The 21,669-nt window shown below is 40.9% G+C and overlaps 1 protein-coding gene across 4 annotated transcripts in view, besides 1 other annotated feature; it reads right to left on the bottom strand.

The window, feature by feature from the left end:
* Positions 1-21,669, bottom strand: part of TMEM178B (transmembrane protein 178B) — a 437,233-nt gene that overhangs the window by 398,720 nt on the left and 16,844 nt on the right. The window lies entirely within an intron of this gene.
* Positions 14,851-15,051: a silencer, noted in NCBI's record as "peak6794 fragment used in MPRA reporter construct". NCBI's record gives its function as "represses an SCP1 promoter by STARR-seq MPRAs in K562 erythroleukemia cells {active_cell/tissue: K562}" and the evidence as "EXISTENCE:reporter gene assay evidence [ECO:0000049][PMID:32103011]".

Raw genomic sequence — 21,669 nt, 5'->3', positions numbered from 1 at the left:
CTAATCCAGTAATAAAAGACTTCGGTTAGGCGTGGTGGCTCATGCCTGTTATCTCAGAACTTTGGGAAGCCAAGGCAGGAGGATCACTTGAGTCCACAAGTTTGAGACCAACCTGAGCCACCTAGCAAGACTCCATCTCTGCAAAAAATACAAAAATTAGCCAGGCTGTGGTGGCTAACACCTGTTGTCCCAGCTACTCAGGAGGCTGAGGTGAGAGGATTGCTTGAGCCCAGGAAATCAAGGCTACAGTGAGCCGTGGTCATGCCATTGCACTCTAGCATGATGACAGAGCAAGACTCTGCCTTTAAAAAAGGTTAAAAAATAAAAACTTAAAAAATTAAAAAATAGACTTCATGAGTTCATGAGGTAGTTTATGAAAATAAACCACTTTGAGGTGAATAAATCTCTCAGATTAAAATTAGCCCAAAAAGCATGAAAATGGCCTATGTGTGTTCGTTCTTCATGACTACCAGCGAACAGGCTAATATACACATACATACAGGCAAAAACTAAAGATCAAATATAAGCAAATAGCAGGAAAAATAATTATTGACTTTGTAAATTGTGTATCCTTAATACTTCTAGAGACAAATGTTTCTGCCTTTGTCAGGAAATGCCAAGATTGTTAACTTCAACTACTGTAAATTAATACACACACTTCAGTTTATTGAGGGGTATAATCAGAATGAAAATATTGATATAGGCAAACACTCATTTCTGGCAATAGAAAAGTAAATATAAACACAATTCACAACGGCATTAATTTGTCTTACTCCTTTTCCTCCAGGATTATTATAAAGTGTTCTAGCCCTCTATCTGAGGAAATGATTAAGAGCCTTTTCAGTTCTGACCATTCCTCCTTCTCTTTAATTATTTCTTCATCCAGAATTAACATTGGCAAATCCCCTCCAACTTTTTAACATTCATCTTCTCCGATCTACACAAGCTGGCTTCACAGCTGAGACAAGAAGAAGCCACCTATATTTAAGGGACTTTCCCTAGGCTAATGAATTGTCAGCAAAGAAAGCATTTTTGAAGCAATCCTGTATAACAAAAATGGCAAATTAACATGTTAGATAAGGACAGGTTAGCAGATGCCATATTCTTCAGGTTGTAGACACCAGTCTCCACAGTGCCTGTATTTGCTGGCTCAGGCTGCCTCATATGGTTTGGCTGTGTCCCCACCCAAATTTCATCTTGAATTGTAGCTCCCATAATCCTCAAGTGTCATGGGAGGGACCCAGTGGGAGGTAACCAAATCTTGGGGGGGTGGTTTTTCCTGTCCTGTTCTTGCGATAGTGAATAAGCCCCATGAAATCTGATGGTTTTAAAAAGGGCAGTTCCTCTGCACACGCTCTCTTGCCTGCCACCATGTAAGACATGACTTTGCTCCTCCATCACCTTCCGCCATGATTGTGAGGCCTCCCAGCCATGTGGAACTGTGAGTCCATTAAACCTCTTTTTCTTTATAAATTACTGGGTATGTCCTTACAGCAGCATGAGAACCGACTAATACACTGGCATAACAAAAGACCATAGACTGCGTGGCTTAAACAACAGATGTTTACTTCCTCTCATTTCTGGAAGTCTGAGATCAAGGTTCCAGCAGCATTTGGTTTCTGGTGAAGCCTCTCTTCTTGGCTTGTAGCTGGCTTCCTTCTCACCGTGTGTTCACATGACCTTTTCTCAGTTGGAGAACAAGACAGCGAGCTCTCAGGGGTCTCTTCTTACAAGGAGACCAATGCTATCAGATCAGGGCCCCAGCCTTACAACCTCATTTAATCTCAATTACTCCCTTACCCCAGATACAGCCACACTAGGGTCAGGGCTTCAACATATGAATTTTAGGGGGACACATACATTCAGTCTATAACAGTATCTGTGGAGAAATTTGCTATTCTCTGGAATTTAGGAAAATTAGTTACTCGCTCAGTCAAGATTTATTCTGCTCTCCTATGTGCCAGGCATTACCCTGATGGTGAAAGGAAAGAGAAGAAAAAGGAGAGGACACATGTGGAGAACAGGCAAGCATGAATAAGTGCTCACATCCAAACAGCTGCCTCTCTTCTTCATACCTATAGTTTTGTCTATTAACCTTTGAGTGTATATTTATTGGTTCTCCAAATGCTGCCTCTATACATTAATGTGGTGCTTCAGGTGGAAGTAGCACAATTTGAATCAATATTTGTGTGTTCTTCCCAAGTTCTGATGTAACTATATGTTCCAAATTGTATTATTGGACTTCCGCTACTTATTTACTAAAAAAGTTATTTCTTCAAACAAATTTTATAATCTATAAGCCCTTGGGGGAAGGGGCTTTGTCTTGTTCCATTGAAATCCACAGCTACTTAGCATTTGATACATAATAGACTTTCATACAACTGTTGAATGAATAAAGAAACAACAATTACCACACACCAAATTAAAAGATACGGTTTTAAATAAAATTATTAAAGAAATAAGCTGCTAAAATCCAATCATTACTTTTCCTACCATGTACCTTTTTTCCTATAAATTGGATTTTTAAAATGGCATAGGGTTTTATTTATCTTTTAATCAATAAGTCATAAATTTTATAAAATCCTGTTTAATTTTTGCTTAAGAGTCTTTTTTTTTTAGAGAGAGAGAGAGCGACAGAGACAGAGTCTCGCTCTATCACCCAGGCTGGAGTGCCATGGCACAATCATAGCTCACTGCAGCCTTGAACTCCTTGACTCAAACAATCCTCCTGCCTATGCCTCCCAAAGCACTGGAATTACAGGCATGATCCTCCACATCCAGCCCAACAGTCAGTTTTTTATTCCTGTGTTAGTGTCATCAAAAGCCACAACAGCCATCTCCTGCCACAGGCTTCTCCCAAATTAACTACCTTCACCATGGGACTTACTTTTCTTTCCACAATTATTTATCAAGCTCCTACAATCTGCCAGCCTCCGTCCTAGACAAGGGGGGTTAATGGTGAGGAGAAAGACACAGTCCCCCCCTTGCAATGCTTACAATCTAGCAAAGGAAACAATCACACCAATAAACATGAATTAAACTGAATTAAGTATACTGAAGAAAAGGAACCCAGGCCTTTGAAAAGTGAGAGCAGGAGATCAGGTAAGAATCCAAAAGCTTTGTCATTGCCAATAACTGCAACTCCTCCATAATCACAATTTCACGTGTCACACTCTGTCCACCACCCCCTGAGTTTCCAGCTTACTCTCTCTAATATTCATTTCTCCATCAATCATTTAACTCCACCAAGACTTACAACACATTGATCCCATCACCCTTTCACCACCCCTTACCTTTTCCTGTCCTTTTGGTCCACATATCTCAGCCTAGAATCCATCACCAGGCGCTATATCACTCCATTCCCATGCCTCTCATTCACTTCCAACTAACTCCTTGATATGGTTTGGCTCTGTGTCCCCCACCCAACTCTCATCTTGAGTTGTACTCCCATAATTCCCACATGTTGTGGGAGGGACCCAGTTGGAGATAATTGAATCATGGGGGCGGTCTCTCCTATACTGTTCTCATGGTAGTGAATAAGTCTCATGAGATTTGATGGTTTGATAAGGGGAAATCCGTTTCACTTGGCTCTCATTCTCTCTCTTGCCGCCACCATGTAAGAAGTGCCTTTCACCTCCCACCATGATTGTGAGGCCTCCCTAGCCACGTGGAACTTTAAGTCCATTAAACCTCTTTCCTTTGTAAATTGCCAAGTCTCAGGTATGTCTTTATCAGCAGCAAGAAAACGGACTAATACACTCCTGGTTAACTCCAACTCTCTGCCTTCTCCATGCTTTTGCTAACACAGCAGAACACTGCTAGAGAAAAAACACACAATCATGCCAAACTAGTCTCATGTTATACCTGGGACCACAGCCCTCAAGTGAGCCCAAAACCTGCCTGCCGGGATACTGGAAGTCTAAGTCCACCCACTTGTTCAAGCATCTGGAGAGTTATTTCACATGTCTTCCTTCCTCTTCGCCCCTCCATCACCTGCTCCCCCATCTCACTCTTGGGTGATGATCTTGCATCCTTCAATACCAAGAATTGATGCAATCAAAAGAATTTCCACAAACTCCCAGTACCACATCTGTCTACCTAACAGCACGAGTCTAACCATGACACACTCTGCTTTCTTTCCTGCTACTATAGATGGATTGCCCATGAACCTTCTGGATGCAAACTTGCACACTGGGTTCCATCTCCTTGTGCTTATTCAATAACATCACTCTAACGATTCTCCCTCTCTCCCATATCAGCAAATTTTCCTTCTGCATTGGACCATGCCATTATCATTCAAATATGCTGTTATTTTTCCCATCTCTGAAAATCCTTCTCCCAAAATCCCTTCTTGTCCCAGCTAATGCTTCATTTCTCTACCACCTTTATGACAAATCATCTTTAAAGAGTTCTCTCTCTTAACGGCCTCCAATATTTCTCCTTCCATCTTCTCATGAACCTTGTCCAATCAGGCTTTTACTCCTCCACCGCTAATACTACCAATAACCTCTAAATTGCCAAATGCAATGGTCAAATCTCAGTCCTCAGCTGTTCGACCAGCAACATCTGACACAGACCACTTCCTCCTCCTGGAAACACTTTCTTCACTTGACCTCCAGAACACCACAAACTCTAGCACATCACCAATCACATCTTTTCAATCTTATTTGCCATTCCTTTTCTTCTCCAGGAACTCTTTTTGTTATAGTGTCCCAGGCCTCAGTCCATGGGCCTTTTATCTTCTCTTGTCCCCTCCCTTGGTGATCTCATCTAATTATAGCTTTAAATACCATCAACGCTGACAACTCTCAAATTTGTATCTCCAGTTCAGATTGTTCTGCTAAACTCTAGACACATATATCCAAGTGCCTACTCTCTGATGTATAACAGACATCTCCAATTTAATATGCCCTAAACCAAAGCCCTTATCTCCCTAAAGCCTGTGCTAGCCATCTCAATGCCCATGTTACTTGATGGCAACTCCATTCTTGGCCACGCAAAACTGTGGAGCTTTCCCTGAGTCCTATATTTCTCTCATATCCCCTCTACATACTCAATCCATCAGAAAATCCTGTTCACTGTACCTTTAAAGTATCTCTACTTCTCACCCGCTCCACTGCCAACACTGTGACCCATGCTACCATCACCATGCCTACATTGTAAACGCAGCTCCTAACTGATCTCCCTGCATCCACTCTTCCCCCACTACTGTCTTTTGTCAACACAGTACCCAGAATGATCCTTGAAAAACATAAAGCAGATTATATCACTGGTCTGCTCAAAATGGTCCAACAACCTCTCATCTCAGAGTAAAAGCCAGGACCTGACAGTGGCCCTATGTGACCACATCTTCTACTGCTCTATCCCTCACTCACTCTACTCCATGCCACCAGCCTTCTGGCTGTTTCTCAAACACACTGGGCATACTCCAGCTTTAGATACTTTGCACAGGCTGCTTCCTCTCTCTTCCCCCTCCTACTCCAGAAAAATATTTCTTAGTCCTGTATCTCCCTCAATGTCATCTTCTTAGTGAGCTCTTCTTCCCTGTCCAGTCTATTTGAAATTGCAAACCAACACCCCAACTTCACACTCCCCATGTTCTTTACCTTGATCCATCTTTTCCCAAAACATTCATCAGCCTCCAATTGTTGTCTCCCCATTGGAATACTAGGCTCAGGCAGAACAGGGATTTTGTTTATTTTTGACTCATGAATTTTGGATGCCTAGAACAGTGCCTGGCACACTATGAGCACCCAATAAATATGAAATATGTGTTAAGTGAATACAGTAAATGAGAGGCAGAGACAAGATTACTAAAAGTAACAATTAGAATATACATAGTTTATCCAGGAGTGAAGATGGTGATGATGGGGGAGGACCACTGGGTTCCCAGGAACAGGTTAGCATTTATTAGCACATTTACACAAATGTGTTTATCAAATTATCTAGTTGTTACTTCAGAAAGTGGCCTGAGGAAGAAAGAAGGCTCCAGATATCTGGTATCTCAGAGAGAGTTTAAGTATTTCTAAAACTTTCTCACAACCCGTCAACCTACTCCAAAGAGGAAATAACTGTGAGCTTGTACTCCTAGGGGAAATGAAGGGTGGGTGTGGCCCACCAAAACCTAAATGTCTTTAAAGAATCATGTTTTCACTTTAAAAGTTAGATGCATTTTATGTTCCTCTCTGTAATATATCTATGTGTTTTAATATACAAATACTGTTAAATTATTTAACGGTTTAATTGATTTCCTAAATAATCTTAAAATGCACAAGCTAGAAAAAGAGTGCCATGTCTGCCCTGGGCATCATGCACTCCCTAGGAAGCAGGGGAACCCCAGTTTTAGAATCACTGGGCACTTTGGAACTGTCAAAAAACAACTATGAAGAATGCAAAGTCAAATGCAAGTATAAATACAAACTCACCTTTTCACAATTCTGCCTTGGCTGACCCAAAATGACCCTTTTTTCTTTTCTTTTTTTTTTTTTTTTGAGACAGGGTCTCACTCTGTTGCCCAGACTGACTGAGATCTCAGCCCACTGCAACCTCTGTCTCCCAGGCTCAAGCAATTCTCATGCCTCAGTCTCCCAAGTAGCCGGGACCATAGGCGTGCACTACCACGCCCGGCTAATTTTTATATTTTTAGTAGACACAGGGTTTCACTATGTTGCCCAGGCTGGTCTCTAACTCCTGAGCTCAAGGGATCCACCCACCTTGGCCTCCCAAACAGCTGGGATTACAGGCATGAGCCACCATGCCTGGCCCCAAACTAATCATTTTTAAAGGCTCTATTAAAAGGCTCTTTTGAATTATGTGAACCTTGTGCAAACTTCTGGCTTTGCTTTCATCGTCTTCTAATGACCAAACACTTTGTTCTAGAGCTATTTAGAGCATTTTAGGTTTTCCCCTAACATCTTTAGCAGCTCGAACTTGGAAGAAGTCATTACGAATGATGAGAGAAATTAGGGAGAAGAGTGCTTTTAATGAAAATGATATTAATGTGCATTTCTATTTGTAGCTAAATAAAACAAAAGAAATATGTTTTTTGTGTTTTGTTTTGTTTAGTTTTTGAGATGGAGTCTCACTGTGTTGCCCAGGCTAGAATACAGTGGCACGATCTCAGCTCACTGCAACCTCCGTCTCCTGGGTTCAAGCAATTCTCATGTCTCAGCCTCCCAAGTAGCTAGGACTATAGGCACACAACACCACGCCAGCTAATTTTTGTATTTTTAGTAGAGACAGGGTTTCACCACGTTGGCCAGGCTGGTCTTGAACTCCTGACCTCAAGTGATCCGCCCACCTCGGCCTCCAAAGTGCTGGGATTACAGGCGTGAGCCACCACAGCAGCCAATGTTCCCTCTTTTAAATAAAATCTTGGGGTGGAGTAGGGGTTTGCTCATACAATGACAGTTTAGCCAGCTGGCCCTTCCTTTTTCCCACAGTGACCCCTGCTCTTTGCCCCTCTTTCCTCTCCCACCTCACACGTCCATCATGTCAACTTTGGGATGAAAGGCCACCCTGGGGTTGGGGTAATTCTCTGACTTAAGTCAGATCTGTGACTCTCATTCAATGCAACTGTCTTCAAAGTTCACAAACAGTTCTGACTTTCAGGCCATGTTATGACCAAATTGTATTCTCCTAAAACTCCCATGTTGAACCCCTACCCCCAGAGACCTCAGGATCTGACTGTATTTGGGTCTTTACAGAGGTAGTTAAGGTAAAACCAGGTCATTAAAGGAGCACTAATCCAATACAACTGGTGTCCTTATAAGAGGAGATGAAGACCACACAGGTGCAGAGGAAAGACCACGTGAAGGCACAGGGGGAAGACAGCATCTACAAGCCCAGGAGAGAGGCCTCTGGAGAAACCGGCCCTGCCAACACCTTGATCTCAGACTCCTAGCCTCCAAAATTGTGAGAAAATACATTTTTGTGTTTAAGCCACCCAGTCTGTGGTACAGCAGTCCAAGCAAACTAATATAGCCCATAAATAAGAGACATGATTCAGTCTCAATGAGCGAGAGAGTAGAAAGCAGCAGAGGTAGCTGATGACAGGGCTGAGAGGGCAGAGACAGAGCAGCAGATAGAGGGAGGATAAAACTCTGAATGCCAAATTGCATTTTTAGCCCTAGAAAGAATCCCGGCTTTGCCCTGCAGTAGTTCCCTCCTCACATCTTCTAATATATTCTTGCACCTGGAGAGGAGTGTCATCTCTCTTGCTGGCAGTAGAATGTTTTCTAGAGCTCCACAGGAGGCCCACCTCAGCCTTCCATAGGTCACTGTGCTCGAAATACAGGCTGAAAACAGAGGATCCTTCACCTCTACAGCAGGGGCCAGGACAGCCCACATGCCGTCAGTCTCCAAGTGAGGTAAAGGCCTTACTAGCTGCCCAGGATGAAGCTCCTGCATCTCAGGAGGTCGGGGAAAAGCAAATCATGTTTGTTTTACATTCAAAACTCATAAAATTTCTGACCTGGCTCAGGTTCAACTAAAATAACTGGTCACTCTGAAAATGCATGAATGGTTTTTTCGGTTGTGCATGGCAGGGGGTAGGTGAGAACAGAAGAAAATAGTTTCTATTTTTTCAAATGATACCCAGTGACCCCAAGGGAAGATACTCTTCTGTCAACAGTGATTATGCAGAGGAATTGGTTCCTGAAAGGATCCTGAATCCAATCAACCCTGTTTTCTTTGCAATGATAAGGGCTTACCAGGGAAAATCCATAATTCCACCACTAATACAGTCTTAGTAAAATCTGCCAATAAATCTTCAGAGAAAATGTCAGCAATAGTGTTTTAAATAAATAGAAAAAACATATTATATGGTACAAATTCAAAAACCACATCTCATTATTGTACAAATTCAGGTTTCTTCCAGGTCAAATTTTGTTCCCTAAAGCTACATAGAAGCCCAAAGATAGTCCTAATCCTCCTTCTAAAACCAATGTTAAAAATTCACTCAGTCAACCAGCATTTCCCATGGACTGACTATGAGCCAGGCAGGGTGACAGAAATGAGAATAAACAGACAAATGAGATAGAGCCCTCAAAAAACTCATTATCAGGTAAAGTAGACACACAAAAATCAATAGATTATAGTGTAATATGATATGTGCTCCAATAGAGGCAAAGTGAAAGAAGACAGGGAAACTCAGAAAGGTGATCATTGTACATGGGATTCTGAAGGCACTCGAATTTCAACTTCCAATCAAAGAGGATACGAGAGAGAAAACATGCTGGTTTCAATGCTTTATACTCTCAACTCAGCCTGACAATATATGTCCACTATCAACTGCCCCTCTCTTTCCTACCCCGGTGATCTACAACCACAATTGTGATTCAGCAGGTCTAGACTGGTTTCTTCCTTTCAAAGTTCTCAGAAGAGATGAGTTGACCCCACCTGGGGAGCAATAATTTTTTTCCTTTCCGCACTTGAAAGAAGACTAGGTAGCTGGAAAATGACAGATATAGCAGTAGGGAAAACCCACAAATGACACGAAGTGCTACTCTGGGTATCTTTGGGCTCCTGGATTTAACTGCCCCTTAGAGCACAAGCCTTGGGATGTCAGTGAGTGTGGCTGCCTGTGATGGAGAGAGATCCAGATGGTGGTTCCAGAGGCCTGGCTCCACCCGCCTTAGCCACTTAACTGGACACATTTCATTCAATCTCATAAACTTCAACTTTCTCCTCTGTGAAATGGGGTCATACCAGCTACCCTGCCTGCCTCACAGAAAGCTTGGGAAATCAAAGGAACCATGATCAGTGGAAATGCTCCTAAGCTTCAAAAACACTGTGCAAATATAAGAGAGGGTTATAATTAACCTAGCCACAGAGCTGCCTTGGGGCTTGATTAAAATACACTGTACTCCTCTAGATCGACAAAGTGTGAATGTGGTTAAAAAATAGGGACAGCTACTCCTAAACAGAGACAGTTGGTGTGTGGGCACATCCCCATAAGCATTTTCTATGCCAGGAAACCTGCATATGCTTAGAAACTAGCACGTTTCTGTTGGCCTTATAGCAGCAGTGTAGGAGAGCTTGAAAAATTAAATCTGTAGCAGGCAACACCACTGCCAAACACAACTGTCCCAACTCCCAAAAAACATGTTGAACACCAACCCCTGTCAATTGAATAAAATATACCCTGCAATTAGACCAGGGAACCCCATGCAGCCAGACACAAGCATGATAAATGCAAATAGGGTCTCTAGCAAAGTGACCACTGTCCTATATAGGTCAAAGCCTATGAATAAAAACCTTTCTTCATAAGAGAAAGGTTTTAGATAGTGAAACTCTTTACCCACCCTAACAAATGATTCACAAAAACAGTACTTTCTCTATCGGATTACAGTAAATTTTCCAATACAATGAATGCTTTGTTTGGCTGAACCCTTTAATAGTCATTCGCACTCTCTAATGAAACTACTAATTACAAAATCTCTGCATTGCAGGCAATAAAATAGGGTTGCTAACCTCTTTACAGTGTTTTAGTTCTGCCATCAAGGAGCAATTACTCTTCAACAGGCCTCCCTGTTTTTCGCTGAGTCTCACCTCAAACATCCTAATCAAACCTACTGAAAAAAAACAAAATCTACTCATACACATAACTAAGCATACAGTATGAGCATGTATGTACACACACACACACACACACACACACACACACACGTTAACACACACTATCCAGGCACCTGAAGAAAAAAAATAGAGGGTACTGACAAACATCCTAGAAGATCCCCATGTTCCGATTATTCCTTTGCACTGGCTAATTCATGAAGAGCAGGGCTTCAGCTCACTACACACTGGACATGTAATTTTTAGTAATAGGCCATTAAAACTAAACTCTACCACAACAAAAATATGTGATACCTAATGGAGTTGACTGTACCACAATATGCTGCATGTATTTTTATTTATAGATAGTTATCTGTTATCCATCAGTCTCTCCGGCTGCTGCCACCACACAAAATAGAGGGAAGCACTTATGCATCATGAGACATGTTTGTTTCAGGATTATTACCATTATGGCAGCTTCCAAGTTCAAATCATCTCAGAGTAGCTTAACACACTGTGTGTCCACAAGGGCGTCTTAACCTGTACCAGAGAAAACAGGAGTTAATCACTTCAACCATTACAACTAGGGCTGTTTAATCACTGGTGAGGTTTGTTGCTGAAGAAATCAATGTTTACCACATGACCATAGGCAAAAAGACAGAAAGAGATAAAAATCTATTATTCCAGTTTTTAAAGGTTAAAGGGAAAAACAGAAAGACTGCATGAAACATTTTATTGTCATTCATAAATTAATTAATCAAGAGTTAGACAACAAGCAACAGATTTAGAGTAACTTCTGCCAAACCCAAATTAGGTTCAAAAGAGCCAAAATATTTTTTTCCCAGATTTACAGGTTACACTCTGAATTTGGTGGCTTATCTAATGCTCCAGAGGATATATCTGAAAGAATTACTTTAATAACTTAGAAAAGTAATCAAATCGAGCCTGTGGAAATTTACATTATCTCCTTTCCAAAGATCCAGGGAGTGGTGTAATAGCTTGAGGGCACATAAGTCAAAATATGTGTATCTATGAAGTAGCCAGATTCTTTGACGGCATCTGTTTCTTTACAGAACAAACACCAAAATGTATACACTCAGTTTCATTCCTCAAAGCCCTTTAGTACTTTACATTTGGGCCTATATAATTATTCCATTACTCAGAAGACATTTGGAATGCCTCTTTCGGAATAAATTTTGAATTAGTTTATGAGCCACATAAGAAAATCAGTTTATTGTCACACATTCTACATATATATGTAGAATACGTATACATTCTGCATATATATATTCTACATTCATACATGTACCTGTGTGCAATACAGTCAGCCCTTGTTTATATCTACAGAAAAGCCTCAGAGCAAAGAGTCTAAAAATAATTTCTATTTAATATTTGATGAAGCATGCCTTTCTATTTATGTAAGAAATAGGTGTATTGGAACTTCTGTAAATTTATGTTAATTAAAATAATACAAACACATGATGATTAGGGAGCCAGACTGAATCAGGAATATCTGGGAGATTGACTAGTTTTCCTGTCTCTCCTCCACAAAGTACAGCATGCTATCTACTCCAAGCTGGTTATAGAAAATGCTAGCATCTCTCATACTTTCCAAAAAGAAATGTGTATGAGTGTTTACACTTATACAGAGAGCAAAGTGAGAATTTTCAGGAAGAAAACGACCACTCAATCAAAAGTTCCAAAGGAACTAAAAGATGGACGTATCCAGTAATTCCCAATCCAGCTATATTATAGAATACGTGGCCCAACCAAACATGCTGAATTACAAGTTACTTATTTAAAAAAAAAAAAAAAGATGTTACAGATGTGGGGTCTGAGAATCTGCTTATTCTAAAACTGCCCAGGTGATTAGGATTGCAGTCTGAATTAAGAGACACCATTTTGGTCGGGCGCAGTGGCTCACGCCTGTAATCCCAGCACTTTGGGAGGCCAAGGCGGGCGGATCACGAGGTCAGGAGATCGAGACCATCCTGGCTAACATGGTGAAACCCCATCTCTACTAACAATACAAAAAATTAGCCGGGTGTGGTGGCGGGTGCCTGTAGTCCCAGCTACGAGGGAGGAGAATGGCGTGAACCCGGGATGCGGAGCTTGCAGTGAGCCGAGATCACGCCACTGCACTCCAGCCTGGACGACAAAGCCAGACTCTGTCTCAAAAAAAAAAAAAAAGAGACACCGTTTTCATTTTACAGACACAAGCTCCAAAGGGGCCAGTGACCCAGGTAAACAGCAGAGCTGGATATAGGAGTCAATGCTTTGACTCAACCTAGCACAGTGATCTTTCCATTAAATGTCACCTAAGCTGTGATTAAGGACCATAACGCATGAATGCAGTTGATACATAAGAAACTGTGATTTGCTATAGATCTATAATAGTGCAAACCAAGCTCCTGTGCCAAATCAAGAGATTAGAACATTACTGAGTGTGGAGGTCTACTCTGATCTGCATCCCTCTTTGAGAGGCTGCAGCTTATGGTTCTTTAACAATACATTGCTGGCTACATATGAGTCCATTCAGCACATTGACAATTCAATTCAGGATGAATTAATGTGCAAACCCTTAATCAGACCCAGACATGTAAGAAAGTTTTCAAAAGTAGCTATTTATAATAATGTTTAAAAGGAACGTGTGGCCACAAAATACTCATCTTACCTAATAGTTTAAATTTCACATTAGAAATGTATCTTTTTGCCCTAAAGCTTAGTCTCCATATCTGTAGCATGTTCTCCTGGGAAGGGCCAGGAATTGAACTTTATTAGTCATTTACAACTGAAAATAATACAGGGTCTGCCAATAGGAAGGAAGGTAGAGAAATGACTTCATTCATGGAAAAGGGAGGAAAATTCATATCAAGGAGGAAAATATTCTGAAGGAGGAGGCTGGGATCTCCAAAGACAAACTTCACAGCTGTCCCTAGATTCCATTCTGCCCTGGTTGATAATGTATGGTCTAATTGGCTTTAGCAAAGTTAGAAGACTTTTGTTTTCGGTTTCTCTAAACATGTTTGTTTGTTTGTTTGTTTGTTTTGTTTTGGGTTTGGTTTTTGTAAATAACAATGGCCGAGATGGAGCCAGACAGATTATTAAAAGGGTAAACTTCATCGGAAAGGTGAAGGCAAAGCCCCAAAGAAATCACAACTGGAGACTTTCAGATATGCACTTGCACATACAGCACTTCTGACAAGAGAAATCATTTTGGCAGTTATCTAATGCAGATACGCACATGGAAATGGCCTTGTCAACCCATTCTATTTTCTTATGAGTTTTAAAGATAATAACAATAGCTTGCACTTACTATGTGCCAGGTACTATTCTATGGCATTTACTTGTATGAACTCACTCAACCTTCACAATAAATCTCTAAGATAGAATTCAAATATAATCTCCATTTTATAGATAAGGAAACTGAGGCATAGAAAGCTTAAGTAATCTGCTCAGGGTCACACAGATAGTAAACTGTAAAGCTGAGATCTGAAGGCAGTATAACTTCAGGGTCTACACTCTTCACTGCTCACTCTCTACAGAAGCTACTTAAAACAGTAGCCTAGACAAACCACTTTACATACAAATGTCTTTAAATTGGGTTAAGACAAAAAATATTTGTAATTGTGTCCTGACAAATCTGATAAATCTGGGATCCAAAACATTAAGCCCTTCAAGAGGGCAGTTCTGTATTTAATCTGGTATGAGGAATTATGGTTAGAAGAACATTCTTCCATTGACACTGGGGACATTTTCCAGTACCAAAAGTTTCAAGTGGCACAGACTCTAACATCAAGTGAGTAAAAGAGATAATAAATTGGAAAGATACCTTCTCACTGGGAAAAAGTTGTAAGGCTTCATATTTTTGGTAAGGGAACATGTAGAATGGTGGACTTTTGGTAATGTCATGAATCACAGTAGAAAATCTGGCTGGGTGTGATGGCTTATGCCTGTAATCTTAGCACTTTGGGAGGCGGAGGCAGGTGGATCACTTGAGCCCAGGAGTTCGAGACCAGCCTGGGCAACATGGCGAAACCCCATCTCTACAAAAAATACAAAAATTAGCCAGGCATGGTGGCACACACCTGTAGTCCCAGCTACTTGGTGGGCTGAGGTGGGAGGATCACTTGAACCAGGGAGGTCGAAGCTGCAGTGAGAGAGATCGTTCCACTGCACTCCATCCTGGGTGACAAAGTGAGACTTTGTCTCAAAAAAAAAAAAAAAAAGAAAGAAAGAAAAAGAAAAGAAACATAAAGCGAATGGCGATTTGTTGAAGGAGAAAAATAAGTATATGATGAGTAAGTTATATAAGAAGTACTGTACACATCAAAGATGATGAGGTTTGGGAAAGTTTGCAAATTTAGCACTTGATGAAAATGCTAAAGATTTCAGGACCATGGACAGACCCCGTATCGCTCTATTGGCCAAAATGGGTCAAGGTGGACTGATTCTCTTCAATTTTTGAATAGTAACCAGGATGAGGTTAAGAGACCCTTGACCATTCTTAACATTTTTGAGAGGGAAAAAAGTACTGAATTTATTCTTTATTTCTTCAAATCTTGTTATAAATACATACAGATTACTATAACATGTATTGTGTTAACCTAGATGTAGACAGTTTACATTTTGTCTTTTTTTTTTTTTTTTTTTTTTTGAGACGGAGTCTCACTCTTTCGCCCAGGCCGGACTGCAGTGGTGCTATCTCGGCTCACTGCAAACTCCTCCCGGGTTCACGCCATTCTCCTGCCTCAGCCTCCCGAGTAGCTGGGACTACAGGCGCCCGCCACAATGTTAGCTGCGATATAGGATTCATATTACAGTTGAAAGGGGATGCATTATTATATACATGTATAACTAATGGAATACTAGCTACTGTAACAGATAAACTTTAAAATCTCTGTAACTTCGCTAAGAATTTTTTTTTTTTTTTGAGACAACTTCTCACTCTGTCACCCAAGCTGGAGTGCAGCTGTGCAATCATAGCTCACTGCAGCCTTGATCTTCTGGACTCAGATGATCCTCCCACCTCAGCCTCCTGAGTAGCTGGGACTACAGGCACGTGCCACCATGCCCAGTTAACTTTTTAAAATTTTTTGTAGAGATGAGATCTCGCTATGTTGCCCAGGCTGGTCTCACACTCCTGGGCTCGAGTGATCCTTCTGCTTCCCCAAGTGCTGGGATAACAGGTGTGAGCCACCCACCCAGCCTCTCTGGAACTTCTGTCTGACTACCTTGAAGTTAAGGTTCCCATGATCCCCTTTTGGGTTTGATTAATTTGCTGAGGCAGCTCACAGAATTCAGAGAAACACTTACTTACATTTTGTAGTTTATTATAAGGGATATTACAAAAGATACAGAAGAGACTATAGAGTGCAGTATAAGGGAAGGGGTATGGAGCTTCCCTGCCCTCCCTGGTTACACCGCCTTCTAGGAACCTCCACATGGTCAGCTATCCAGAAGCTCCAGAAGATTATTTCTTGTTCACTAAAGTCCAATTGGCCACCAACACAGGGGAGGTCACTGTTTTCTGACATTCGAGGACTCAGGCTTCTCAAGGCTTTGCCATCTTCAGTCCTTGCCTTCTAACGTCACCCAGAATATTAGCATCCAGAGAGAAGATAGAAGAAAATAGGCAATCACACAGAATTATTTTATGGGACAGACATGGAAGTGGAATATACCACTTATACTCACATATCACTGTCCAGAACCCAGTCACATAGCCACACCTAACTCTAACTGCAGAGAATGCTGAGTAAAATAGCCTGGCTGTACACCCATAAGGAAAGGCACTGTCTGTTCAGTGGGCAAACATTTGACCTGCAATGCAATTTAAAGCATAGTGTAACAAAATATCTATGACTAGAATACTACTCTATTAAATATTTACCCCTCAAAGCTGGAAGAATGCCAGTTATGAGGAGACAGAGCAAGAGGCTGATCATGTTGTATAGTCCCCTCTGGATACCATGGGCAAGGCCATCAATGCCAGTAGTGGCCTTGTAGGATATGGTTGGTTGCCTACGTTACCATCAGCATTTATACTTCTCTTCACCCACCTGGCCACTCCTATGGATACCAGGTGATGAAAGACAGGTAAAAGTACAAAACAGGAAAACACACAGGCACACCCCCAATTCAACACAGCACCGTGAGGCAGCATCCTGGAGTGCAGTGGTTGAAAGATCACTGGAAAAGGCAATGGTTCTGATCTGCTTCCACTCTTTATTAGCCAGGCAACAGATGGTAAACATTTTTGAGCCTCAGGTCTTCTGTATGTAAAATGAGAATAATCATACGTCTTCTGCATGCCACACATATTGGTGAGGTGGCTCAGGGTTTGATTGGTGAAAATAAAAGTACTGTTGAAATGATCTGATTGAGAGAATACACAGCTGCTGAAAGACAGAAAGCAAATGGGCGACCAAAGATTATGGAGGAGAGCAATCTATTCAATAAGCCTATGTACTGGGATAGTTGTGGAAGAAAGCAGCAATAACGTAACAGAGAAAAATCATAAGTTAAAAAATTCCCAAGAGTTTGAAAAAATAAAATTGGTCATGACACACATTCCAAAAAACATTTTATGGAAATTAAGAATCTACTTGTTTACAGGTAGAACTCATCATATTACCAGACACACATCAGAAGGGTAAAGAAAAAGTCAAAAGTTAAAGGCAAATTACAGGTGGAACTAAATGGCATTTCTCACATGGTTTCCAAATTGGAAACTAGTATCCCACCGTTTCTGAGTAGAAGGCAATGGGGAAAATGATACACCACCTGCTCCACTAACTTGCACCTGTTATTCCTTGTCTCCAGAACATACACAGCTTTTCTTAGAATTTTGAGTCCTTACAAACCCCACTGAAGAAATAAAAAAGGCTAATGACATCCATACCTTCTCAAAAAACCTACAAAGTGGCTGCCTATAAATGTGGCCAATAATTTTCACACAATAGCCAGACTCTTTTTTCCAAGAAAGGAAGGTTTTGTGACCGTAATTTCTATATTAATGTAGAAAATACTTGTTGTGGGGAGGTTACAAGGAATTATTGCACTTCGTTTTTAAAAAGAACTTAACAGTATAATAACAAAGAAATTGATTCTGCATCACTATAGGTCTTCAGTCATTTAATCAGAGGCTCTGAAATGCAGACACAGTGAAGCATTTTTAGGATGACAAGGCAAGAATGTGGCTATTCAGCCTGAAAATAAAGCAGCTTTATCTCAAAAAATGACCTGAATGTCATCAGAGCCAAAGCACCCTAAATTCTAATTAGAGTGATGCTATTAAATTAAAAACTGCAGAAACCATTGGCTAAAGGATCCCTACAGGAGATAGCAACTAGAAAGAGAGGTTTGAGGATGCACTGTCCTCTCTTTTAAAAAATGAAACCTGTTTATGCTTTTCAGAGCACCATACTTCAAGACACAGCGTGTCACATTCCAACTAACTGAGGCCAAAATGTCTCAGAATGTCCAACCAATCACCAGCCACCCAGTGCTTAGAATAGCTAGGCTACTCTGACCAGAGATCCTTTTTATAAAGCAAATGCAAACCACCATACCCAAATAGAATAGAGTAAGGTTCACTTTCCAATCCTGCTTTCTTCAGAGAACTCCCATTAATTACTCAATAATAAAAAGATGCTAAAGTACTATAGAAACTCTCTTCTAAAAAGCATAAAGCTCTTTGCTCTATTTTCCCATTAGGTTGTAATGTGAGTAAAATAATTGATGCCTTGCTTCAAGAAAGGCCATCTCCAATTTTTTCTTCCTGCCTCACCTAAAACATGTGTTTCTTCCTGGGCCATGTTCATTTCCTTCCATCTTTTTTTTCCCACCTTCCTTCCTACTTCAACCCTATCCAGCAGTTGCTCCTGCAATTCTATTCTCTCCTTTTTGTTTTTTCTGCACCATCAGTTTTGTCCCTATCTATGAACCATTCCCATCAGCCTACAACTATGCTTTTATTTATCTAATTTAAAAAGAAAAACTTAAGTCTCTCTTGACCTAACTTTCTCAGTCCAGTTACCATTTCTTTCTTTATATTTATACCAAAACTCCTTTAAAAATTTGTCTTTGCTCACCGTCTCCAATTCCTCTCCTTCCATTCACTCTTGGTCAAGTTTTTACCCCCAACACTGAAATCAATGACCTCTGCATTGTGAAATCCAAAATTCAAGTCTCAGGCCTCATTGAACTTGACCCATTGACAGCACTTCACAGCGGTGACCACTTCCTCCTCCTTAACATATTTTCTTCATTTGGCTTCTAGGACAGCACACTTTCCCGAATGTTCTCTTAACTCACTGACTCTTCCTCACAGTCTCTTTTGCAGATTCCAACTCATCTCCCTGAGCTCTATCAAGCTGGAGTGCCCCAGGGCTTAATCTTTGGATATTTTCTCTTCCAAGTTTACAATCAATCCCTCTCTAGGTGATCTCTTTCAGTCTCACAACTTCCAGTACCATGAGCTGATGACTCCTCTGTTTACATCCCCAGTGAGACTTCTCCCCCAAACTCGGTCCTATATATCCAGCTAACTCTTGATATCTCCCCTTGAGCAACTAAAAAGGCACCTCAAAGATTATCATACACAAAATAGTAGATCTTCAAAACAAGATCCTGCAGTCCTATCCATCATGGTAAATGGCAGCTCTGCTCTGCCAGCTCCTGTTGAAATATTGGTGCCATCTTTGACTTCTTTTTCTCATCTGCCCTGCATCTGATCCCTCCGCCAATCCTGATAACTTTCCATTCAAAATACATCCAGAATCCAGTCTCTTCTCCCTGTACTCTGGTTCTAGTCACCATCTTTGCTGGCTGGTCTCCTGGCTTCTATATATGCCCTTCTATAATCTATTACCAATTCAGCTACCCAAGGGATCCTTTTGAGCCATAAATCTAATCACATCGCTCCTCTTCTCAAAATCCTGCAGTGCTTCCTATGACCTTCAAACACTACGTAACATGGATCTTTAATTCCCTGACATCTGACTACAAGCCCCCTCACCTGCTCTGCCCCATTCATTCTGCCACCTTTGCTATTTCTATAACATGCCACCATTCTCTGACATCAAAGTCACTGCCCTTGTTATTCCCTCCACTTGAAATCCTCTTCCTCAGAGAGCCCCATAGCTAGTTCCTCATGTCCTTCAGACCTTGACTCAAATGTCAGCTTCTTGGTGCACTCTTCTCTGGCCATCCCATCTGCAATTTCAACTCACCACCTCACACTTCCTATCCCTTTTCCATGCTTTGTTTTCTTCTCCTTAGCACTAAGCTTTATCTAATGTATTATATGTTTTACTTATTTATCTGATTATTGTCCATTTTCTCAGTGGAATATGAGCTCCATATAGGCAAAAGATTTTGCCTATTTAGTGAACTACTGCATCCTAAGCCCCCTGTACAAATTATGACATGTAAGTATTCATCAAATATTTGTTGAACAAGCGAATATATAATCTATATAATTTACCCATGCATCATGAAGGAGAAGCATAAAGTAGAAATTGTTACCCCACTGGAAAAAGTCACCATCCTCCCTCAGTTCATATGGACCTAGGACCTCACCTGTACATAAGTACATTTTGCACAGGTAGACTGTAAGTGTCCCCAGCCTTCAAGTCAAGAAACTCAGCCAAGGAGGTTCATGCTATCTTCTGCAGGTTTCCATTACCCTCCACTTCCATCTATATCACTTTATTTCCAGGGCGTTTACTTTTCCTAGTTCCTCACTGATGCTATATCCAAGCCCACCCAAGTCTCTTAAAAATCAGTGTTCAGATTACAAGATTTTTTTAAATTGGTAGGGTAACCAAGAATTACTATAATCAAGAAATATTTGAGGCCAAGGGAACTAATCCTGTCTTTCTCGGTCTGGGAATTCTTCCATTAACAGAAGCTGAATTTGTATGGAATTCAGCTATAACAGTGGACACAAGACCTCCTGGAATGTATCTTTAGCATGTTAAAGTACATTAGGTGGGGTGTGGTAGCTCACACTTATAATCCCAGCACTTTGGGAGGCTGAGGTGGGTGGATCACTTGAGGTCAGGAGTTCGAGGCCAGTCTGGCCAACATGGTGAAACCTTGTCTCTACTAAAAATACAAAAATTAGCCAGGCATGGTGGCACATGCCCGTAGTCTCAGCTACTCAGGAGGTTGAGGCAGGAGAATCACTTGAGCCTGGGAGGCAGAGGTTTCAGTGAGCCGAGATCACGCTGCTGCACTCCAGCCTGGGAGACAGAGCAAGACTCCGTCTCTAAAAATTAACAAAGTACATTCTAGGACTCATCACCTTGAAAGGATCTATTTCTTTCTTCTAAATAATAAGGATCTCAATGCAGGGATATTCTTGTTGTTATTCCTAAATGCACTTCACTACCTGGAGACAATCTATCTCCTATGAAGAAGCCATTATGGTCTCTGATGCAGCTCCCTTTTTAGCAGCTTATTGATCTACAAGCACCCAGCCAGCCACCACACCACTAAAGATATGTGTAATAAAAGCTGATACAGGCATGCTGCTGGCAGAGGAGCACAAATGTCCTTCTTTGAAATGTTAACAACTCTGCTGACCCAAGGAGAAGAAATGCCACCTTCAGTTTGAAATAGACCACTGGGTTCCTACAGGTTTTTAAATAAATATATATATAACAAGAGACAGTTTTCCAGTGAAAGGGTTACCCACCATTTTATGAAACCTGAATTACTGTATAACTCATTAATAATATTTACAATTTTTTTTAAATTAAAGCCAGCTCTTCAAACCACAAATTTAACAGAAATGCCTACCCAATGGTTATTACTGAATTTTGACCTATAGCACTTTATACAACTTGGGCAGAAAGTGCTGGAAATCATTTTCCAGCTTAACCTAGCATAATTAACTCCTAATATAAATCCAGGAGTTATGGGGGTCATAGGAAATATTTCCTTGATATGAATCATTTATTCAACCTAGTTTAGAGAGCCAAGCAATGCAGCCATATCTATATTTATCTGCTAAAAGCAAAATAATTACTCTACTTATCTGAGTTAGGTGGCAATGGGCTGTGCCCTTCAGATATTATGGCTAAAGGAGAAGTCCTTAAAACCCTG

Source organism: Homo sapiens, chromosome 7 (genome assembly GCF_000001405.40).
Source record: "Homo sapiens chromosome 7, GRCh38.p14 Primary Assembly".
Classification (NCBI taxonomy): domain Eukaryota; kingdom Metazoa; phylum Chordata; class Mammalia; order Primates; family Hominidae; genus Homo; species Homo sapiens.
This window is presented reverse-complemented; position numbering and strand designations above follow the sequence as displayed.